The 20,575-nt window shown below is 49.4% G+C and overlaps 1 protein-coding gene across 4 annotated transcripts in view; it reads right to left on the bottom strand.

Annotated features, from left to right (window-relative positions):
* GTF3C1 (general transcription factor IIIC subunit 1) overlaps window positions 1-20,575 on the bottom strand; it is an 89,301-nt gene that overhangs the window by 31,022 nt on the left and 37,704 nt on the right. For all 4 annotated transcript variants that reach the window (XM_047434036.1, XM_017023188.3, NM_001286242.2 and 1 more), the window contains exons 7-19: window positions 20,115-20,267; window positions 16,906-17,021; window positions 15,213-15,522; window positions 14,265-14,482; window positions 11,225-11,361; window positions 9,557-9,710; window positions 6,996-7,099; window positions 6,003-6,187; window positions 3,577-3,858; window positions 3,129-3,274; window positions 1,565-1,662; window positions 983-1,079; window positions 704-881 (exon numbers count right to left, since the gene is read on the bottom strand). In XM_047434036.1, coding sequence (XP_047289992.1) covers window positions 704-881; window positions 983-1,079; window positions 1,565-1,662; window positions 3,129-3,274; window positions 3,577-3,858; window positions 6,003-6,187; window positions 6,996-7,099; window positions 9,557-9,710; window positions 11,225-11,361; window positions 14,265-14,482; window positions 15,213-15,522; window positions 16,906-17,021; window positions 20,115-20,267 — 2,178 coding nt within the window. The remainder of the gene's footprint in view (window positions 1-703; window positions 882-982; window positions 1,080-1,564; window positions 1,663-3,128; window positions 3,275-3,576; window positions 3,859-6,002; window positions 6,188-6,995; window positions 7,100-9,556; window positions 9,711-11,224; window positions 11,362-14,264; window positions 14,483-15,212; window positions 15,523-16,905; window positions 17,022-20,114; window positions 20,268-20,575) is intronic.

The following is a 20,575-nucleotide window of genomic DNA, read 5'->3' on the forward strand; positions in this document are numbered from 1 at the left end:
CCCCACAAAGCCCAACTCAGCCAAGTCACCAGCACATCTGATCAGTTCCCTCCAAAACACCTCTAGGCCTGTCCTGTCCTCCTCACTGTCACCAGTGGACGGCCACTCTCCTCCTACCCACATGGCCTCCTCTCTTTCTCCAACATACCACTCAAGGCTTCAGCCTGTGTCACTGCCCCTGCCTGGGATGCCCTCCCCAGCTCTGGCCCTGGCTGGCTCTGCCTCATCCTATAGAATTCAGCTCCAATGTCTCCTCCTCAGCAAGGCTGTTCCCGAGCCCTGGAATAAACACCACCCCAACCAACACCTAGGCCCTCACTGCACTCCTGTGAGCTGTGTCTCCTCTTCACACTAGATTTTGAGTCTCACGAAGGCAGGGCGGGCTGTGTTCTCATTGTGGCACTGTCAGGCACAGGAAGTGACACACAGCCGGTGTGTTTAATAAATACCTACTCAATGAACAAATGAAGACAAAGTGCAGCTACTTGGGCTCAACTGAGTGGGGGAACCGGAAGCACCCCACCCATTCAAGGCCCGCCACTTTCCTTTCCAAGGGAGCCCCAGGGGTGCTCTGGGCCTCTGGGGAGCACTCGGAACATACCACTGGTTGAGGCAACTCCTAGGCTTTTCTAGCCCTAAATCCCAGTTAGCACACAGAAAGGAGCAAAAGCAGCCAGGTTCAGCCGAGACAGCCGACACCCACCTAGTGGGGTGTTGAGGCAGACGCACTGCAGGTCAAACCAGTAGTTTTCCACATCCTGCATTGAGTTCAGGACATAGAGGCGCCTCTCGAAGGGCCGGCTGCTGCGGGCCAGGTTGTAATGTGGGTCGCAGATGGTAGTGTCAACAATGACTGCATTCTTCTTCAAGAAGATAAAGACCTAAGGGGAGACACCAGACAGGGAGAACCCACATTGGGTCTGGCTGCTTGGAGACCGTTTAACAATCAGAATTTCCTTCGTTTGGGCTTGAGGGACATTACCTGATCTTTATCCTGAAACTTTTCCGTGGGACCAAACTGTAGCAGCCCCATGTAGCACAGCCTCTGAAGGTTCTCCACCACCGAAAAAATGTAACGCCTAGAAAACAGAGGGGGCGGGAGGTTCTCATCACACCACACTCGCAGCCGGCCGCAGGGGTCTGCATGTGGGGTGAGGGGTGCGACTTCCTTCTTCTCTTTTCCACCTGGTGGTCACTGGAGGACCAGCCTCAAGCCCACACTGCACTAAGGCCCAGAACTACCCAACCTAACACCCAACCAGGGCCACAGAGATCAACCCGACACTAGGGATTTGATTTGGAAAGTAAAAGTAATGAAAGGGAAAAAAAATTCCGATACTTGCAGACACTAGCAGCAGATTTTACTTTAAAAGAACCTTCAAATCAAGTAATAAAATATACCAGCCCATACTTCATTAATATTAATAACTTAATAAAAATCTTGAGTTTTTGCAAGCTGGAAGTTAGAAACCTTTTCCTCTTCCTGGTGAATGATGGCTTAGAGCCCTGACTTAAGGGTTTGTTTGGACCTGCGACTACTCTGGGTCAGGTTCAATGGCCTCACCTCTTGTACAGAAGCTGCTGCCGAATGGGCCTGGGGAGAAAGCGGATCAGCGTGTGCTTCTTCAGCGGGTCGTTCAGAAATTCCTCCAGGTTGTCCACCTGAAGAGGTGATGTGCAGGTTCAGCTCGCCCTGAGGGCCAGGGCGACCTGCAAGAATCTTGAAAAAGTGCTCGCCACTATTTTCTGACCATAGTCTCCCTGAACCTGCCCACTGGGCTCTCCTTCCTGCCCCACCAAGTGCCCCTGCATCTCTGCCTTTGGCCTCGCTGCCCCTCCCCTCCAGCCCATCTACCACACTGCAGAGGGCAATAAACAGGTGCCCTCATACCCTGCTGGTAGGCATAGAAATTGCTAAACCTTTCCCGGGGGCAACATAAGAATATATACATTTATATTTTAAACAAGAAAAGATGAGATAGAGAACACGCGTTCCTTTTGAAGCCAGTGATTCTGCTCCTATCCTTACCCAAAGGAAAAAATGCTGGAGCCGCCAATCTATGTCTACCCAAAAGGTATTCATCAACATGTCATAATAAATACCTACTCAACAGTAGTAAGAAAGTGGAATTTAAATGTCCAAAAATAGAAAATATTATGGTTAAATAAATTAGACACATAAGAATACTATGACTCTACTTAATATCAAGTCTAAAAAGTTAATGATGCAAAAAATACAAAACATTCTTTAGTCAAAAGCACAGACAATAAAAGAGTGAATATAGTTTCAATTCAGCTTTTTTTTTTAAAGGGAGATCACACACATACCCGTGTACATACAAGTATGGCATAGCAATAAAAGACTACAAAAACCTTACCAAGAAGATAATTACTTAGTAGTAATTATCTCTATGAGTGATACAGTTATGGGTAATTTCTATTTTATCTTTCTCTATTTACCAAATTTCTAAAAACAACATGTTTTGGTCGGGTGCAATGGCTCACGCCTGTAATCCCAGCACTTTGGGAGGCCAAGACGGGCGGATCACAAGGTCAGAAGATTGAGACCATCCTGGCTAACATGGCAAAACCCCGTCTCTATTAAAAATATAAAAAATTAGCCTGGCGTGGTGGTGGGTGCCTGTAGTCCCAGCTACTTGGGAGGCTGAGGAAGGAGAATGGCGTGAAACTGGGAGGCAGAGGTTGCAGTGAGCAGAGATCGCGCCACTGCACTCCAGCCTAGACGACAGAGCAAGACTCTGTCTCATAAAAAAAAAACAAAAAAAAAAAACAAAAAAAACCACGTTTTATTGTTGTAATATAATTGTCTTTCTGTCTACCTACCTACCAATAGATCCATTTAGAAGAGCGAGTCTTTAAAGTATTTACCCGCCAACCACCCACCCATCCACCCAATCATCTTTCTAATCTAATCTAGTCTAATCTATCTCGAACAAATCCTTAAAATATTTTCCCTTGAATGAGCATCTGCCTATCCATCTATCCACCAATCCATTCATCTGGGCAACACCGGGTCTTCAAGTATCCTCCCTTGCCCAGGTGAGTGTAGGCCCTCCAGCCCAGAGCTGAGGGGCAATTCCTGTGATAATGGCTCCTGTCACCAATACCTTGTAGCTGACTTGCACAATCTGGATGAAGATGGAGAGGGGAAGGCAGAGGAGGATGTCGCTGACGAGAGCCCAGCCAAAGCCGAAGTCCCTGTGGACTGGGATTGGGGGGATGTAGCGCATCCACGAGGCATCGTCGACATACACTAGGAAAAAAACGCACGGTTACCCCCGGCAGCCAGGATACCAGTCACCATGGTGACACATGGTAACGTCATCTCCCAGGAGGTCTTGGTGTCTTTACCCCTAATTTGAGGAAAACTCTACTTGTCAGGCAGGAAGGAAGATGAGGAAGAAAGCCTGCAGGTTCAGGAAGTGTGGATTATGTTTCCATTTGGATCAGAGGCTGCAGCCAGTTTATATAAGGAAAAGGAACTATCATGTTTCTCCCTGGATCCTACTACTGGGCCTGCCCGCCCCAGGTGCAGGAGTGGCAGGGGCCTCTCACCTGTCTCCGTGGCAAGCTCCACTTCAGCCTCCCAGGTGACACCATCTTGGCTGCCTTTAGATGGGGCTTCAGAGCAGGCCTCCCAGGCACTTCCAGAGGAGGACGGCCGGACGCCTGCCCTGCCTGACTCCTGCTTTATCGTTCTCCGTTCACTGATGAAGCTTGGCTTCTCCACGGTGTTGCTGGCAGGGTGCCCGTAGATGAGGTACCACAGAAACATGTGGACCACCCGCAGGCGAGGCATTTTGGGCAGAAATCCTAGAGAACGCCCCAGTCCGGGAACTAAAGCAAGAGAGGGAGAGGGCGGTGCTTGAAAAATCCCATACTGAATTCAGTTTTAATTCATTAAAAAATGATTGAGTGCCACTATGTGCCAGGGGCCAGAAAGATGGCAAATATTCTTACTGTCTTAGAGCTTACTTTCTAATGGGCAAGAACGGATAATAAAATATAATATCTAAAATAGCCCATCAGACGAAAACAGCTGGTGCAGAAAATAAAGCACAGATGGGAGGAGGGCTGCAATTCTACAAAAGGAGAGGCCTCACTGGGGAGCCTTAGAGTGAACTCCAGTCGGTGAAGGAGCTGCTGGCAGTGCAGAACCCTTGGGGCTTGCCTACAGGGCAAATGCAAGGGGCCTGAGGTGGGGGTGTGCCCCGCACATTCCTGGAAGGGGAAGTGGAGCAAGGAAGCAGAGTGCAGCACCTGCGGCAGGAGGGCAATCGAGCAGGGAACCAACAAGGAGGGTGGGAAGGCTTGGATGCCCCTCCACATCTCATGTTGGCATGTGATCCTCGGTGCTGGTGGTGGGGCCAGGTGGGAGGCGTCTGGGTATGGGTGATCCCTCATGACTTGGTGCCATCCTCATGAGATCTGGTTGTTTAAAAGTGTGTGGCACCTCCCCCAACTCTCTCTCTTGCTCCTGCTTTTGCCAGGTGATGTGCCTGCCCCCCTTCACCTTCTGTCATGGCTGGAAGCTTCCTGAGGCCTCAGTAGAACCCAAGCAAATGCTGGCACCATGCTTCCTATACAGCCTGTAGAACTGTCAGCCAATTAAGCCTCTTTTCTTTACAAATGACCCAGCCTCAGGTATGCCTTTATAATAAGAACGACCTAACAGAGGGCCTAAGAAGCTACTGGATAAGGATTTCTGGCTTGATGAGAACTGTGCCAAATATTCCATAATCTCAGTTTTTGTTGTTTATTGTTGTTGTTGTTTTGAAACAGAGTCTCGCTCTGTTGCCCAGGCTGGAGTACAGTGGCATGATCTCAGCTCACTGCAACCTCCACCTCCCTGGTTCAAGCAATTCTCCTGCCTCAGCCTCCCAAGTGGCTGGGACTGTAGGCACCACACCCAGCTAATTTTTGTATTTTTAGTAGAGGCAGGGTTTCACCACACTGGCCAGAATGGTCTCGATCTCCTGACCTCATGATATGCTCCACTTGGCCTCCCAAAGTGTTGGGATTACAGGCGTTAGCCACCATACCCAGCCATCTCAGTTCTTTTAAAGGGGCTTATTTCTTTGTTGATACAAATGCGCTGTTGCTTGATTTTCCCCAGTGAGAGATGATGGCTGTGAGAGGAGGTAGGCACAGCAAGAGGGTGCAGGACAGGCAGTCAGAAGGCCCACCCGAGGAACACCCGCGCTGCCCCTGGTCCATTCGAGTGCAAATGCTGTCTAGTTGCATGCACTCATGCTGCTGTTCCTCTTTCACCTGTGCCTTCTAACAGGGAAACCTTGAGAGTAAAGGCCACACCGTGGGGCTGCAGCCCTAGGAAAGGGAAGTCACACACACAACCTCTTCCACTTGGAATCCCTGGGTCTAGTGTGTCCTGGACCTGACGCTGCCTGACAGACAGCCGGGCCCCGGTGAGTCAAGTTTGCCCTCCTTCCTGAACCAGCACATGTGCTATGGCCCGGAGAGGAGCTGAGCATCCTGATTATAATGCCATGGCCACCTGCCTTGTTCAGCACAAGTTTAGAAATGAGGGATGAGGGAACCCATCAGTGCTCCAACTCTGAGGAAATTATAGGAGCACTCAGACTCATCAATGACTGTGCTGCCAGGGGATTTGTCGAGTTGGGACAGGAAGAAATTTTCTGTAGTTTGTAGAATGTTCCAGCTCAAGGACATTCAGCAGAAGAAATTAATCTTTCCTCATATTGGGATCTAGCAGGATTTCATCTGAGTCTCTCCAAAGCCTTGTAGGGTATGGCAGGCAGAATTGTTCCCATTTTTGCAGATAGACAAACAGATGCTGGAAGAAGTTATGCGGCCAGAGTAACAGGATCCAGCCCACAGCTCAGACGCGATTCTTCTGACTGCGGCTCGGAGCTCAAATGGAGAGGACCAAGTGCCTCAAACATTGTCATACAAACAACAAATCAAATGTAACTAAACACAGACAAGAAGCTGCAGCTTACCTACAATGGGGTGATAATTTCTAAGCGGGGTTATGCCCATTTTATTATCACTTTTTTTCATCCGTCCACTTTCTGATCTAGAGGAAGCACTCAGCTGAGAGTCCCCTGATCCACTTGGGCCCTCTTTTCCTTGACTGTCTTCTTCTGCCTCCCCTTGGGGCACTGGAGGCTGGGAAGTTTTAACCCTGCAGTTCAAATAAACATGCAATAATGTACTGAGAAAATCAAGGGCTAAGAGAAAGGACAGAGTCTGTCTGCATGAATCAGATACAGCCTCTTGGCCTGGGGGTTTCAAATTCTGCTCCTTGTAGGGGCCAGGGAGATGATGCAAACAAAATGTCAGGTCACTGAAACTTTTGGGGGTGGTGGGGATTGTGGGGCCCTGAAGAGGGCACCCCCACTTATGGGTGCTGCCTTGTGAGAAAGGGAACCCAACGTGCTAGATCTTCAGACATGTGCATCAACGCTAGAAGTCAGTAATTATATGAGAAATTAACCAGCAACTGATTCAAAGTATGTGTGGCCAATACTTGGCAGATCCCACAAACTATCATGTGCAAGCCAGATCAGCCCTCTGCCTGCCTGTGAGAGTTTCTAGTTGAGACACAGCTGAGAACTTTCTCCCTCCCCTGAGTTTTCTCTCAGCTCATTACATGGTTTATGAACAAAATTAGAAAAGATCTGAGAAAGGCAACCAGAATCACTGTGAGCCATTATGAGACTGAGTGAGTGTCAGACATCAGAGGCCTATGATGGGGAGTGCTCTGTCCACACTCTATCAGACAGAATAAAGACCATTAGGACTTTTTTTTTCCCCCTAAAGAATCCTGAAATTGGTCCTTATTGAGACTAGGAGATCATGAACCATGAACTCCAAACCAACAAATTCACTGATCCATGCAGGTATAAAGAAAGGGCTCTTCTGGATTGCTGTAGGCTGACACACAGACCTGGCAGCCTTGCTATGGGTTCTTCCCGGGCACCTCCACTTGCCTGTTGGCTGTGCTTGAATTGGAGATCCGGAAGCGGACCTGCTCGATGGCACTTCTCACTAGAGGGTCGTTCTGGTCCATGGACGGGTGCACCACCAGATCCACCTGGAGAGAGAGGTTGGAGCATCCCACAGGGTGAGGGAAGAGCTGAGGAAGACTTGGCTCCACAGTCGATTCCTAGTGGAACCTCAGTCATACCTGTTTTCATTAACATTTCCAAAACACGATTAGGAGATCGAAACAAAATTTGTTGCTCAACAGTTTGCTGGTACAGCTACTGGCGGCAAAATTCCTCAAGTGACCAAGCGATCAGGCTCTGCCATGGGTGCCGGGGCTGCTCGGTCCCACTGAGAAATCTGGCCTGGACACAGAGCTGTCTCCCTGCAAGTCCCTTACTGGGCCGTCACAGCCCACTGGTCTCTGTTGCTACCTGGAGGGCTGCTCCGTGCCCCCTTCCCACTATCTGAGAATTTCCCAGTTGCTTGTGAGTCCTGAGGGCTTCCATCTGGAAAAGGTAAGCAGCTTTCATTAATCTACCCTTGCTGAGAGTGGCGTCATGGGACTCCTGCCAGGCACACGTCCAAACAAACCGGCAGAGGATTTAGAGCTGCTTTTGTTGTTTTACCTTTTCCGAGCTACTGAAGCTCAACAGTTAAGGTGGTTATCATTTCATGAGAGATACACAGGATGAAAAACAGACTGTGTGGAAGGGAAGTAACTTGAATGCCCAGCAGGGAGAGGTGGAGTGGGGCAGGGTGTGTGTGAGCACACCAGCCATGTTGTGGCAGGTGAGGACGGCCAGGCCCCCAGGGAGCCAGGCTTCTTGCCTGTCTCTGCTGAGGCCGGGGACAGCAAGGTCAGGCTGTCTGAGCATCCACTCTGGCCAGCAGCTTCATGCTGAACATGGGCTCAGAAAGATCTGGAAACAGGGGGCAGGAAGCAACGCCTAGACAAGGGCTCCCGAATGCCACACTTGGCTCATTTTCTCCGAATCCTCATTTGTGAAATAAGGACCACCCTGCCCCCACCCCCAACCACCAGCTTTGTGGTTTTGTGAAGCTCAAATGAGACGCAGTAAGGCAACATTTCAGAGAATTCAAAGGCAAGGGAGAAATATACAGCATTCACATTGCCCCACTTTCCGGGCAAGACACAGGAGCAAAGGCAAAAGACTGACACAGACGCACCAGCTCCAGCTCACATGGCCCCAGCAGATCAAAGGCTGCCAGCAGCACATGCTCTGGGTGCCAGAGAAAGTCCTGCCTGGAAACCTACGCTGGTACTAGAGTCACATGCACACGACGGAAGCCCCTTCCAGCCGGAAAAACCAGCTACTGTAGTGGGACCTTGTGGCAAGAGGCCTGGGCACTTTCATTTTTGAGGTTATGTGGCCCCCCATGCTTACCCGCTGCCCCCATCCCTCGCCCACTCCCTCCAGCAATGCCTGGAGACACAGCAGATGCCTATACCTTCCTGTCTCTCCCTAACCCTAGACTGGAGGGTGGGGGGTTCCTGTCTTCAGTGACTGCACTCTTTGAAGATCAACAGAAATAGAAGGCACTGCTACTACTGGGCTGCAGTTTTTCTTGGCCTTCTCTGAGGGAGGTCAGCACAGGAACACACTGCCACTGCTCAGGGAACAAGTGGCAGGCTGGTGGGGGAGTGGGGAGCAGGGGGCCAGGGGACATTATTGTTTTATTTTAAAAATACTTATAGCAGACATAAAAACTGATGAGAGCTGTCAATGTGGAAAGGATAGACACTGTTGTTTCTTAAGTTTTTTGTACTGCTCTGCAGTTTTCAAATTTCTCAAAAAATAAAAGCAGAAGAGCAAAAATGACCTTGCTAGCTTATTAAGAAAACAAAATATCAATGCAGAGCTTTCTTAAGGCAGAGATTTAAAATGCAGTCAGAAGAAAAGGTCAGGAAATTACGAGTGACTGTCCCCACACAACCATTCCCTTTGGCCCTGGTGCCTGGCTGTACCATCACAAATTACCCTGACCGTGAAAAACGTGTGCCTTAGAATGTCCGTGAAGCTGCTGAGCTGCAGCTGCTATGGGAATGCATCCCCCCGCAAACTTTAAATTTTACAGAAATAGATATGTCGAGGCAGAAGAGATGTACTGCTCCCATCGGATAACCCGGCAGCGCATCCTCACTGACTCAATGCCATTGCTTCCTCTGGGATGTTGCCTCAGCTCTCCGAGGAAAGCATTCTTGCTGCTTAGTCTAAATTTCCCACCTAAATGTTATTTCATTTGTCCCTCAATGACTGAACTTCAATATGTCTCTGCCTGCCTTCTGCTTCTTCAAGGCTGACCACAGGGCTGGATGCCTGCACAGCTGCTGCTTGGAGTTGACATGCTTTACAATCCTAGCAAGTTTTTGCTCTTTTCTGTTTCCAGCTAACCCATATTCCCCAAATCAGGAGGCATAATGGGAAATTCCAAGTCACTGGTAATAAAGCAACTACCAGGATACAGCAATGACAAGAGAAGCTAGACAAAAACTTCCAACAGCACGAGGCTGGCTCTGGGCATCGGGGGAGGCCCTGGTTACCTTCTTCTTGATGCCATCTTGAATGACAGTGGTCCGATACAATCGCAAGAGACCTTCCTCAGACAGGTTCCGCACCAAGCGGACAATGGACTTCTTGCAGCACTTGGTGGACACGCCTTCCTGCTTCTCCTGATCCATGATCATCTTCTGAATCCTGGGCATCACAAAATAAGCAGATAACACTCCCAATCTCAACATGGAAGGCCTTCCTCAACCCAGGCAACACAGACATGCCTCACGGTACCCAATAGAAACAAGGAAGGATCAAACGGGGTTTCCCCACCCTGGAAAGACTGATTTCTTGAGACGTTAATGATTGTTTCCCTCTGTGGCAAATGTATCAGGTAAGGACAAGCCACCAAAGACAGCAGCTCCACAGCTGAGCCTTTCACCGGCAACTCAAGAGACTACGATTTGAGATCATGATGGCAGGGAAACTGGGCACCATGATAGAAACCTGTCTTCACCAAGTCGAATGCTAATCTAACACCCAGATAAGGGCTGCTCTGGTTTATCACTAGCCCCTAAGATCTGAAGTGCATTTTGTCTTCTCTCTGGATACATCTTCCTCTAGGTCTTACTGAGTCACTATGGTGATCTTTCCAGATCACTGATCATAGAATGCAGGGCCAGTGGGCGTGGTGGCTCATGCCTATAATACCAGCACTTTGGGAAGCCGAGACAGGCAGATCACTTGAGGTCAGGAGTTCGAGACCAGCCTGGCCAACATGGTGAAACCCCGTCTCTACTAAAAATACAAAAATTAGCCAGGTGGGTGCCTGTAATCCCAGCTACTCAGGAGGCTGAGGCAGAAGAATTGTTTGAACCCAGGAGGCAGACGTTGCAGTGAGCCGAGATTGCATCATGCACTCTAGCCTGGGTGTCAGAGTGAGACTCCATCTCAAAAAAAAAAAAAGAAAAGAAAATAGAATACAGGGCCAAAAGGGACATTAGGAGCACCTAGCTCAACCTCTCATGGCTCAGAGGCGAACAAGGTGACAGTGTGTGCAGATGGTCCCTACCCCCTCCCATTCAGTCCTCGTTAGACACGGAGTATGAGGAAGAAGCCATGTCCCTGATGGAGGGTAAGGCTCCTCCTCACCGAGTGGCTCTCACATTGGGTGCCTCAGAAGCGTTGAAGATGCCACCCAGGAGGTGGTGGTGATGGGAGCTTACAAGAACCACATCAGAGTTCAGAGCCTCTACTCCATCCCAAACAGAGAAGCTCTACTTGTGTCTCTTGTTTTTTCTCCTCTAGAAGACTCTATTTGCGCAAAATGCACCACGGAGAACTAAAAGTCTGGAAGTAATGCTACTACTCGCTTAAGTGTCTCCATAGCCCTTCTGAAGCAACCATCTTCCAGGTAAGGAAAAGCTGAACGCACTTTCCCTGTGACTTCTGCTTCCTGCTCAGTCATTTTCTCTCTGTCTAGCATGCTGATGTTCCTCAGTATCTGCTCCTTTTGAGGAGGAGATACTCCTCCATCCCTTTAGATGGTAGGGAGGACCATCTAAATCCTCCCTACCGCAAAGGAACGAGATGAGAATCTACACAGTGGGACAGAGATTTGAATGCCCCTCAGTGGTGTCCATGGCTTGTGATGACCAACTGGTAGGAGGATTACTGTTAGTGCCAGCAGACAGACAGACAGACAGACAGCTCCTTACGTGAATAAACTCTCGATTAAGCGAAGATTGGTGACAGCTTCTATGATCAGATTCCTGCGTTTCAGCAGTCGGTAAGTTTCGTGTGGTTTGTCTTGGCCTGAGCTGTGCCTCCCAGTCTTCAGGGAACTGCTACTCTCCTAGAACAGAGACCGAAAGCACAAGATGCAATGGGCTCGGCAAGGCTTGGGGGCCACGCACCACACCTGTGGGTGCACTGGCCCTCTTCAAGAAACTTCTACTCCCATCTTTCAAGAAGGGAAGCCAAGAAGCCTGTTCTCCTACACAGAATCCCACTACTCTACCATCTCAATGCTTTGAAAATCAAAGACATTGGCCAGCAGAGGACCCCGGACCACTTTATGAGGATCAGCTGGTTTCAGGACAGAAATCAGAGGCATCTACTCCAGCAACTCCTGAAAAGGTGGAAGGCGTTCCCTCAATTCCCCCTTGGTTCTCCCATACAGGAATGGAAGAAACTGATGTACAGACAATTACATGCCAAGTATTGTTGGGCTTTTTTCTTCAAAAACTCTTAACACTTTTATCATCATAGTTCCCATTTTACAGAAGAAGAAACCAGGGCTCTGTGTGGCTAACTCTCCAGTGTCTCATGGGGAGTGAACGTGCCAGGATGGGGCCTCTGACTCCAGACGGAAGAAACCAGGGAAGTCTCTGGGCAAAAAGTGACATGAGGTAGAGCGGGGCTCTTGAGTTCAGAACAGGTTTCCTCGAGGAAAATTAGGATGAGTGGATCTGTGCTTCCTCTTCTATCCCCGCTAAATTGTCTGCTTCTCTTGTAATGTCTTTCTCTCTTAATGAGCTTAAAATGAACCTGTTTCACCCAACACTGGATCAAAATGTGAAAGCCCAAATGTGAACCCTATATGGAAAAGAAATCCTAACTCTAATACACATCTTGTGAATCACTGGACCCAAGTCAATGCCTTATGGTAGCCCCAGGGCATGTTCTGCTTGCCACCTCCCAGCTGGGAGTAGCACTTTCAGGAAATGAGAAAGTGCCCAAGGAGGTCACTCGGTGATGGTGTCTGAACGGCCAGGCCCCAGCCCACTTCCCTGCCCACTGTGGGAGCTCCGGGCAAGACACAGTTCTTTGCTGAAGGGGGAAAGAATCAAAGATTCAAGAAGAGTCCCAAGAGGGGCAGAAAGTCTTTCGTTCACCTTCGTGCTTCAGGGTGAAAAGTTTGGGGGAAAACCACGTGAGTGAATCTAGCCAGTTTCCATGGGGCTGCTGGACAGCAAAGGCAACATGCTCTGCCAAGAGCCTCCCTGCAAACAGTTGGTGCCATTCTTCTCAGCAAGGATGCGGGGAGGACCATGGTGCTGCCATTACTCTGGGAATGGACTTCCATCAGAGAGAGGAAGAGCTGAACTGGAAACAAGTCAGGGACTTTAAGACCTGGTGGGAATGCACAGAGGTGCAAAGGGGATGGCAGAGGGAGGAAGGCAGGCGGGACTCCAGGGGAGCTGCTGGGCTCCACTGCTGGAAGGCCCGGCCTCTCTGGTTAGAAACAATGCCAATCCTGACTCCATAGAGAGTTGTGGCATCCAATAAATAGAAAAGGCCTGAAAGAGTCTAGAAAAAAATCAACGCCACGCCCCATCACCTCTGCCATAGGAACACTTCCAAAGCACAAAAAGGGAGAAGCGGCGTAGGGTAGGGACTGCACAGGCAAGTTACTCCATCCTAGGGGCCTCGCTTTCTTCTCACAGACCAAAGCTCACATTGACCTTACAGGGCTGAATGAAACAGCAGTGGCCAGGCGCAGTGGCTCACGCCTGGAATCCCAGCACTTTGGGAGGCTAAGGCGGGAGGATCACTTGAGCCCAGGAGTTTGAGACCAGCCTGGGCAACATGATGAAACCATCTCTACAAAAAAATACAAAAATTAGCCAGGCGCAGTGGCATATGCTTGCAGAAGAGGAAACCTGCAGTCCCAGCTACTCAGGAGGCTGAAGCAGGAGGATCACTTGAGCTCAGGAGGCAGAGGCTGCAGTGAGCCGAGCTCGTACCACTGCACTCCATCCTGGGCACCACAGCAAGACTCTTTCTCAAAAAAATTAATTAATTAAAAAAATACATAAAGAAACAGCAGCAACACCATCAAAAGCCACCCGAGACCATGCATCTACTCCGTGCTAGGTGCCTCGTTCTCTACTCAGTGTTTCCAAAATACAGGGGGTGGCACTGGCAGTGTCTGGGGTACTGTTATGTCACAAGTGTTGACATGGTATTAGGTGAACCGAATCACATAATGGGAAAGACATTCCTTATCAACTGTCTTTTAATCCTTCCAATTATATTGACGAAAGTACTGGTTTGACTTCACTGTGTCTTTAACTCCTTGATATATAACAGTAACTGGCTGGAATGTACTAATACAGTTTTGACTTTATTGTATCTATTCTATGATTACTTTCTTTTTTATGACAAATGATATTGGCCATTTATCTAAAGCAGAGTTTCTCCACCTTGCCAGTGCTGACATTTGGGCCAGGAAATTCTCTGCTGTGAAGCACTGTCCTGTGTATTGTAGGATGTTTAACAGCATTCTAACCTCTCCCTATTGGATGCCAGTAGCAGCCCCTCCCTAAGTGTGGCACTGAGAACTGTCTCCAGATATTGCGAAATGTCTCCTATGGGTAAATGCCAATCCTGACTCCATAGAGAGTTGTGGCATCCAATGAACAGAAAAGGGGTAAAACTGGGTAAGAACCATTGATCTAAATTAGGCATACAGGTTTCCCTCTAAAATAAATCTAACTGAAAAGAATAAGCTGTTGGAAATGAATAAGCCACTGGGTGGATAACCATGCAGACAATCTCTGCGTAGGGCCCAGGCTGCGTGAAAGTGGTGTGTAGATAAGCACAGAGCTACTGCCTGGGAAGCACAGGCAGGCCTCGGCACGCAGCACTCTCGCTGTGGATGATTCCACTGTGATCATGTGATTCCTAAACACAGAAACGATGAGGCCACAGACTCCTTCTTGGAGACAGCTCCCTCCCTCTGCATGCACTGACCTTTGGGTTTTCCATCCGGACCTCCTCGATCACAGCTATGTCACCACTGTTGCTGTCCGCACAGTGGGAGACAAAGGACACGTTGGGTTCTGAGACGCTGCTGGTATCTAAGAGGCTGTCCCTGCTGGCAAGGCTCTGGCAGGCTCTCTCTTCAGCAGCTCCTGGGAAGGAGGGCGGCTGCTTTTTCAATGGGTGTAGGTTTACAACTTTCCACCCACCTGTGGTGGAGGGAAGAGATAGAACAAATCAAGGGGGAGGCCAGGAGGGCATTCATGTTTGGCAATCAGACCAGACCCACACAGGCCAAAGGATTCTGCTGAGAGTCAGTTGAAAGGTGAGGGAAGTGGACCAGCAGCAGCTTGGGCCCCTCCTTCTGGCCTCTCATCGGCAGCAGGGTTTCTCCACTTGGCCAGTGCTGATGTCTGGGCTGGGTAATTCTCTGCTGTCAGGGGCTGTCCTGTGTATTGCAGGATGTTAAACAGCATCCTGGCCTCTACCTACAAAATGCCAGTAAGAGTCCCTCCCTAAGCTGGACATTTAACGATGTCCCCAGGGGGCTCAGAGCTGGGTACCAGATTTGCAAATGTGTCATCAGCACCACTCTCTATGCATTTAAAAAAAGTTTTCTATAACTAAACTAAAAACTTGGAGGAGTCTTAGACTGTTGGAAGGGAAGGGGCAGAGGAAGCTTATGAAATTCCATCCTTTAATAGTAAAAACAAGCAAACAAAACACGTGCCACGAAGAAATGATTTGCAAGCAGCCAGGAGATACCACAGGACCCTCTCCTCCAAACCCATGATGATGTGGTACAAGTGACAGTGTCAGGCCTCTCATTAGGATGGCACCAAGGGCAACCGCAGGTGTTTGCTGAACTGAAGGGGTGTTTCTTGCAGGTGCCCAGCAGTGCAGTGCACGCAGCCCCTGCCCACCCCACGTGCTCCCTACCCTTGGTTGGGGTGGAGTGATGAGGCTGGGTCTTGGGCCGGAGGTTTGCAGAGGCTCTTGTGTCTTTCTGGGACCCTCTGCCTCTCCGCTTGCTGCTGCTCCTCTCCTCCTCACTGTCCGACTCAGAGAGGAAGGTGTCCTCGCCTTCAGGCAGAAGCGACTCCTCCTGCATAGACGCCAGGCTCACGGTGGTCAAGAGCTCGCTGCGGGCCTTCTCTCTTTGGTACTGCCGGCTTAGGTCGCTCTCCTCTGCAAACACGCAGGAAATGTACTTGGTGGTTCGCTGCCGACCTTCGTCTTCCATGAATCCCTAGAGGGAATAAGATGTGTTTATCCCACTGCAAAGAGGGCGTCATACCCACAGGGGTTCAGGTGGTCTGTGGCATCTATTTCCTTATTGGCTTTCTTCTGTTTCTCCTGTCTTACTGCCTGGGCCCTGGGTTGGGCACCACTGATGCTCCCTCCAGGCTCTTCCTCTCTGTAATCCCCCAGGTCTTCCTTCCACAGAGATCCTTCTCTGAAGTACAACCCTGAATGTGTGTCTGCTCTATGAGGCTATGAGCTTCTCAGGGACAGGGCTCTGACTTAACCTTCCATATAGCCCCAGTGGCTGGGACAGGACGTGGCCCACACAAAATGGACAGTACGCAGCAAGCATTTGTGATGCAGACTGAAAAGTTAGACTGTGGAACGCAAGCTCCACTTAGCCACTGCCATGAGGATTTGTCGACTGGGCATCAGTGATCCACACCCATTTTAACGTCTAGAACAGGGCAAGGGGCTCTTCCCAGGGCCTTTGATAGGAAAAGAGTAACATCTAGGTACTATCACATGCCAGGGATGGGGCTAAGTGTGCTGCAGTCACTCACCCAACTATAATACTGCCTTCCAGCCAGATGACCAGATCGTGAGCAAGATGAGAGTGGCATGTCAGGGGCTGAGACCACAGGTCTGAATTACAAAAGAGTGCCAGACAGGCATAGCTGGCCAACTCGATGTCCCCAGGTGCCAGGCAAGTAACATGCATAAGAAGGAGGGCCAAGTGGGGATGGTGGAACCCTGGAGAGCACTGCTTTGTCTGAAGCACGTGGACAGAGAGTGGCCAGCCCCAGCTGACTGTCCCCATGTGGGAGTAGGCTCCCGGGGTGGCCACATCACCTTCTGACTACTTTTTCTTTTTGAGATGGAGTTTCACTCTTGTTGCCCAGGTTGGAGCGCAGTGGCGCCATCTCGGCTCACTGCAACCTCTGCCTCCTGGGTTCAAGCAATTCTCCTGCCTCAGCCTCCTGAGTAGCTAGGATTACAGGCATGCAACACCACGCCTGGCTAATTTTTTGTACTTTTAGTAGAGATAGGGTTTCACCATGTTGGCCAGGCTGGTCTTGAACTTCTGATGTCAGGTGATCCCCCTACCTCAGCCTCCCAAAGTGTTGGGATTACAGGTGTGGGCCACCATGCCTGGCACTTTTCAAAGCTGACAAGTCATTCAATTCTTAAAAAGTGAAGACAAACAGAAACTACAGTGAAGGCGAGACATAACATGGCTATGGACTGCACTCAGCCCTGGGGAGGCCATTTGCCTCCTTGACACAGATGTCAGGCCATCGAGTCTTCTGACTGAGATGCTCGTTCTCAAATACACTGCAAGCACCTCCAAAGACAACGAGTGTTGGGGGAAGGCTCATGATGTTACCTTGACAACTTTGAATCTTTGAAGAAGTCGGCACAGCATTCTTGCTTCTAGTTTTCCCACATTCATAGCCACTCGGATTTCAGCTTGGGAAATTCCTTTCGTGCCTCTGCGCTCAACTGTGAGAAACAATACACGTGAACCCAAACCGCTGCAAAGGAGCTGTTCTGCACAAGTCAGTTTCCAGCCCACTTTTTCAGCAGACATTTTGATGCTGTGAAATTAACAGACAGAACAAAACATACGCCATTTCTCTCCCTTATCCTCCCAAGCGTGCTTCCCTCCCAAGCCTCTGAGTAATATACTATACTAGGCTAGTAATACTAACAGCTAATGTTTGAATGCTTACTATCTCATGGCCCCACGTTAAAACACTAAATGTCAGGTGATCAACAGCTGAAATACTAAAATGCAAGAACCCAATAGGTTTTACCCAACGGCAGGAAATTAGCCCTTTCGCATGAATGAACTGTTTCAGATCAATGAAATTGACCTCTTTAAGAAGCATCAAAATAATTTTTAATTCAGAACTTTTCTTAATGTGTATTCTTCATTTCCCAGTATTTCTTGATAGACACAGAGGCATTGTGGACACTGACTACTGCACTGTCCCATAAGAGTCGTGCAAGCGAGGACTTTGAAAGGAAATGGTATTCCTCAGCCCTGGAGTAAATGACTCGCAGACCACTGGCCCCCGCTGTTGCTGTGTGTAGCTTGTCTACTCCTGGGCTGTCACAAGCTGGTGTATGTCAGGATTGTGAGTATATCTGCCGCTCAGAGGCCCTTTAAATGCATCCTACTAAGCTGGAACTAAGAACTCCAGGAAGGAGTCGGCTTAGGAACTGGGAGGTGGGCAGGGAGTCCCAGCAGTAAAGCACATGAGCCGCAAGGCAGACTTGGTTGCAAAGCTCTTTGACTTTTCAGAAGTATCTTCCTCTTGGCCGGGTGCAGTGCCTCACTCCTGTAATCCCAGCACTTTGGGAGGCTGAGGCGGGCGGATCACGAGGTCAGGAGATCGAGACCATCCTGGCTAACACAGTGAAACCCCATCTCTACTAAAAATACAAAAAAATTAGCCGGGTGTGGTGGCGGGCGCCTGTAGTCCCAGCTACTCAGGAGGCTGAGGCAGGAGAATGGCGTGAACTTGGGAGGCGGAGCTTGCAGTGAGCCGAGATCACGCCACTGCACTCCAGCCTGGGCGACAGAGTGAGACTCCGTCTCAAAAAAAAAAAAAAAAAAAAAAGAAGTATCTTCCTCTTTATTTCCTGATGCATCCAAAGGCTTGAGGCTGCCTAGTAAAATCAGTCTGAATAAAGGAGGTTTTGCTATGTTGTACACGCATAAAAATAAGCAGCAGAATGAAGAAAGATGACTAGGATGTGTTCCTATACTGATCTAGCAACACGCTAAAAAGTAGGGATGAAAGGGCTAACCAGGTGTGGTGGCTCACACCTGTAATCCCAGCACTTTGGGAGGCCGAGGTGGGTGGATCACCTGAGGTTAGGAGTTCGAGACCCACCTGACCAGCATGATGAAACCTTGTCTCTACTAAAGAAATAGAAAATTAGTCCGGACGCTGTGGCTCACGCCTGTAATCCCAGCACTTTAGGAGGCCGAGGCAGGTGGATCACGAGGTCAAGAGATCGAGACCATCCTGGCTAACACGGTGAAACCCCGTCTCTACTAAAAATACAAAAAAATTAGTGGGGCATGGTGATGGGCGCCTGTAGTCCCAAGTACTCGGGAGGCTGAGGCAGGAGAATGGCGTGAACCCAGGAGGCGGAGCTTGCAGTGAGCCAAGATCGCACCACTGCACTCGAGCATGGGCGACACAGCGAGACTCCATCTCAAAAAAAAAAAGAAATACAAAATTAGCCGGGCACAGTGGTACATGCCTGTGATCCCAGCTACTTGGGAGGCTGAGGCAGGAGAATCACTTGAACTTGGGAGGCGGAGGCTGCAGTGAACTGAGATACCACTGCACTCCAGCCTGGGCGACACAGTCAAACTCCGTCTCAAAAAAGAAAAAAGAAAGGGTTAAGGGCAGCATTTCCCCAGCTGTGTTGTGTGGAACCCATTCTGAGGGACGTCAAGGGAGCTACCAAACAGCCCTCCAGAAAGGTTGGGCCGACCCAACAGCTCAATCAGATCCCTTGCAGCCACTTCACCTTCTGCTCTGTCCTCCTCCCTGCAGGAACCTGAGGCCACACCGCCTGTGACACTAGGCCACTGATGTCCCACACAGAAGTTAGGGGACCTGGGGGAAGGGTTAGGAATGGGAGAGAATGTTTTCTTTGCCCATTCATCATAAATTCCGGGCCTGTGGTAACTCCAGACCAATCTTAGAAAACAACAGGTAGCTCTTGAACCTTTGAATAATAATAGTAATAGCTTTCTTCTTCTCAGTGCTTTCTATGCACCAGGCCCTATAGCAGCTCTTTTAATTTGATGTCATTTATCCTCATAATGTGCTAGTGTGGATACTTTCACCACGTGATGGTTAACCTTAGGTGTCAATGGGACTGGATTAAGGGATACCCAGATCACTGGTCAGGTTTTATCTCTGGGTGTGTCTGTGATGGTGTTTCTGAAGGAGATTGGTGTGTAGCTCAGTGGACTAAGTGGGACAGATCTGCCCTCCATGCAGGCAGGCACCATCCAATCAGCCAGGGGCCCAGACAGAACAAGAAGCCAGAGGAAGGCGAACTTGCCCTCTCTCTCTTCTGGAGCTGCAGCCCCCTCTTCTGCTGCTCTTGGCCATCAGAACTCCAGGCTCTCCAGCCTTAGGTAACTGGGACCTGCCCCCACGGCTTCCCTAGTTCTGACGCTTCCCTGGGCCTCCAGCTCGCAGACGAGCTAGTGCGACTTCTCAGCATTCATAATTGCATGAGCCAATTACCTTAATAAGCTCCCTCTTATATATCTATGTTTATTTTTCCTACTGATTCTGTGTCTCTGGAGAACTCTAAGATGCCTGCTTTACAGATGAGGAAATGGGACTCAGAGACCTCATTAAAATCATATGGCTAAGTGGCAGAGCAAGGATTCAAACTCCAATCTGACCTTGAAGCCTAAACCCTTCTGGGGAACCAAGGCACTTCCCATTGTATTACATTCTCTATAGCAGAGCTCTCTCTCGACATGTGGGCAAAGCGCTTCTTGACTCAAATTCTCGGGATCCATATCCAAGCTGGCATGGGAACAAGACTTACTGAGGTCGTAGGTCTGTGTGAGCATATCCCGCTCGAACACAATGTCCACTGGAGGCACTGTCTTGGAGATGACCTCCTCGTCCTCGTCATCATCATGGTCATTCCGTTTAAATTCCTTCAGCAGCTTGAGGCACCGAACCATGACGTCGGTCCCTGGCAACACAAGCACGGGTTTGCCAGCAATGAGTGAAAGCAGTGCTGCGTGGGGGAGGTGAGGGGTTCTGAAATATCACAGCACATGTCAGCAGAGACAGAGATCCCCACAAAGGTCACACATATCACCGTGTCTGGACTTTTAAAAATGGCTCATCTTGGGCCACAAGACCTGAAAATGTATTCCATAAAGCTGCTTTTTGTTTTTAGAAGAATGAGTGAAGAAAGCAATGCAAATGGAAGGAATAACGAGGTGCTATTAGTCCTGTTAAATCAATAGTCAGTCACCTTCTCCTGCTGGAGACCAG

The sequence above is a fragment of the Homo sapiens genome, chromosome 16 (genome assembly GCF_000001405.40).
Source record: "Homo sapiens chromosome 16, GRCh38.p14 Primary Assembly".
NCBI classification, from domain to species: domain Eukaryota; kingdom Metazoa; phylum Chordata; class Mammalia; order Primates; family Hominidae; genus Homo; species Homo sapiens.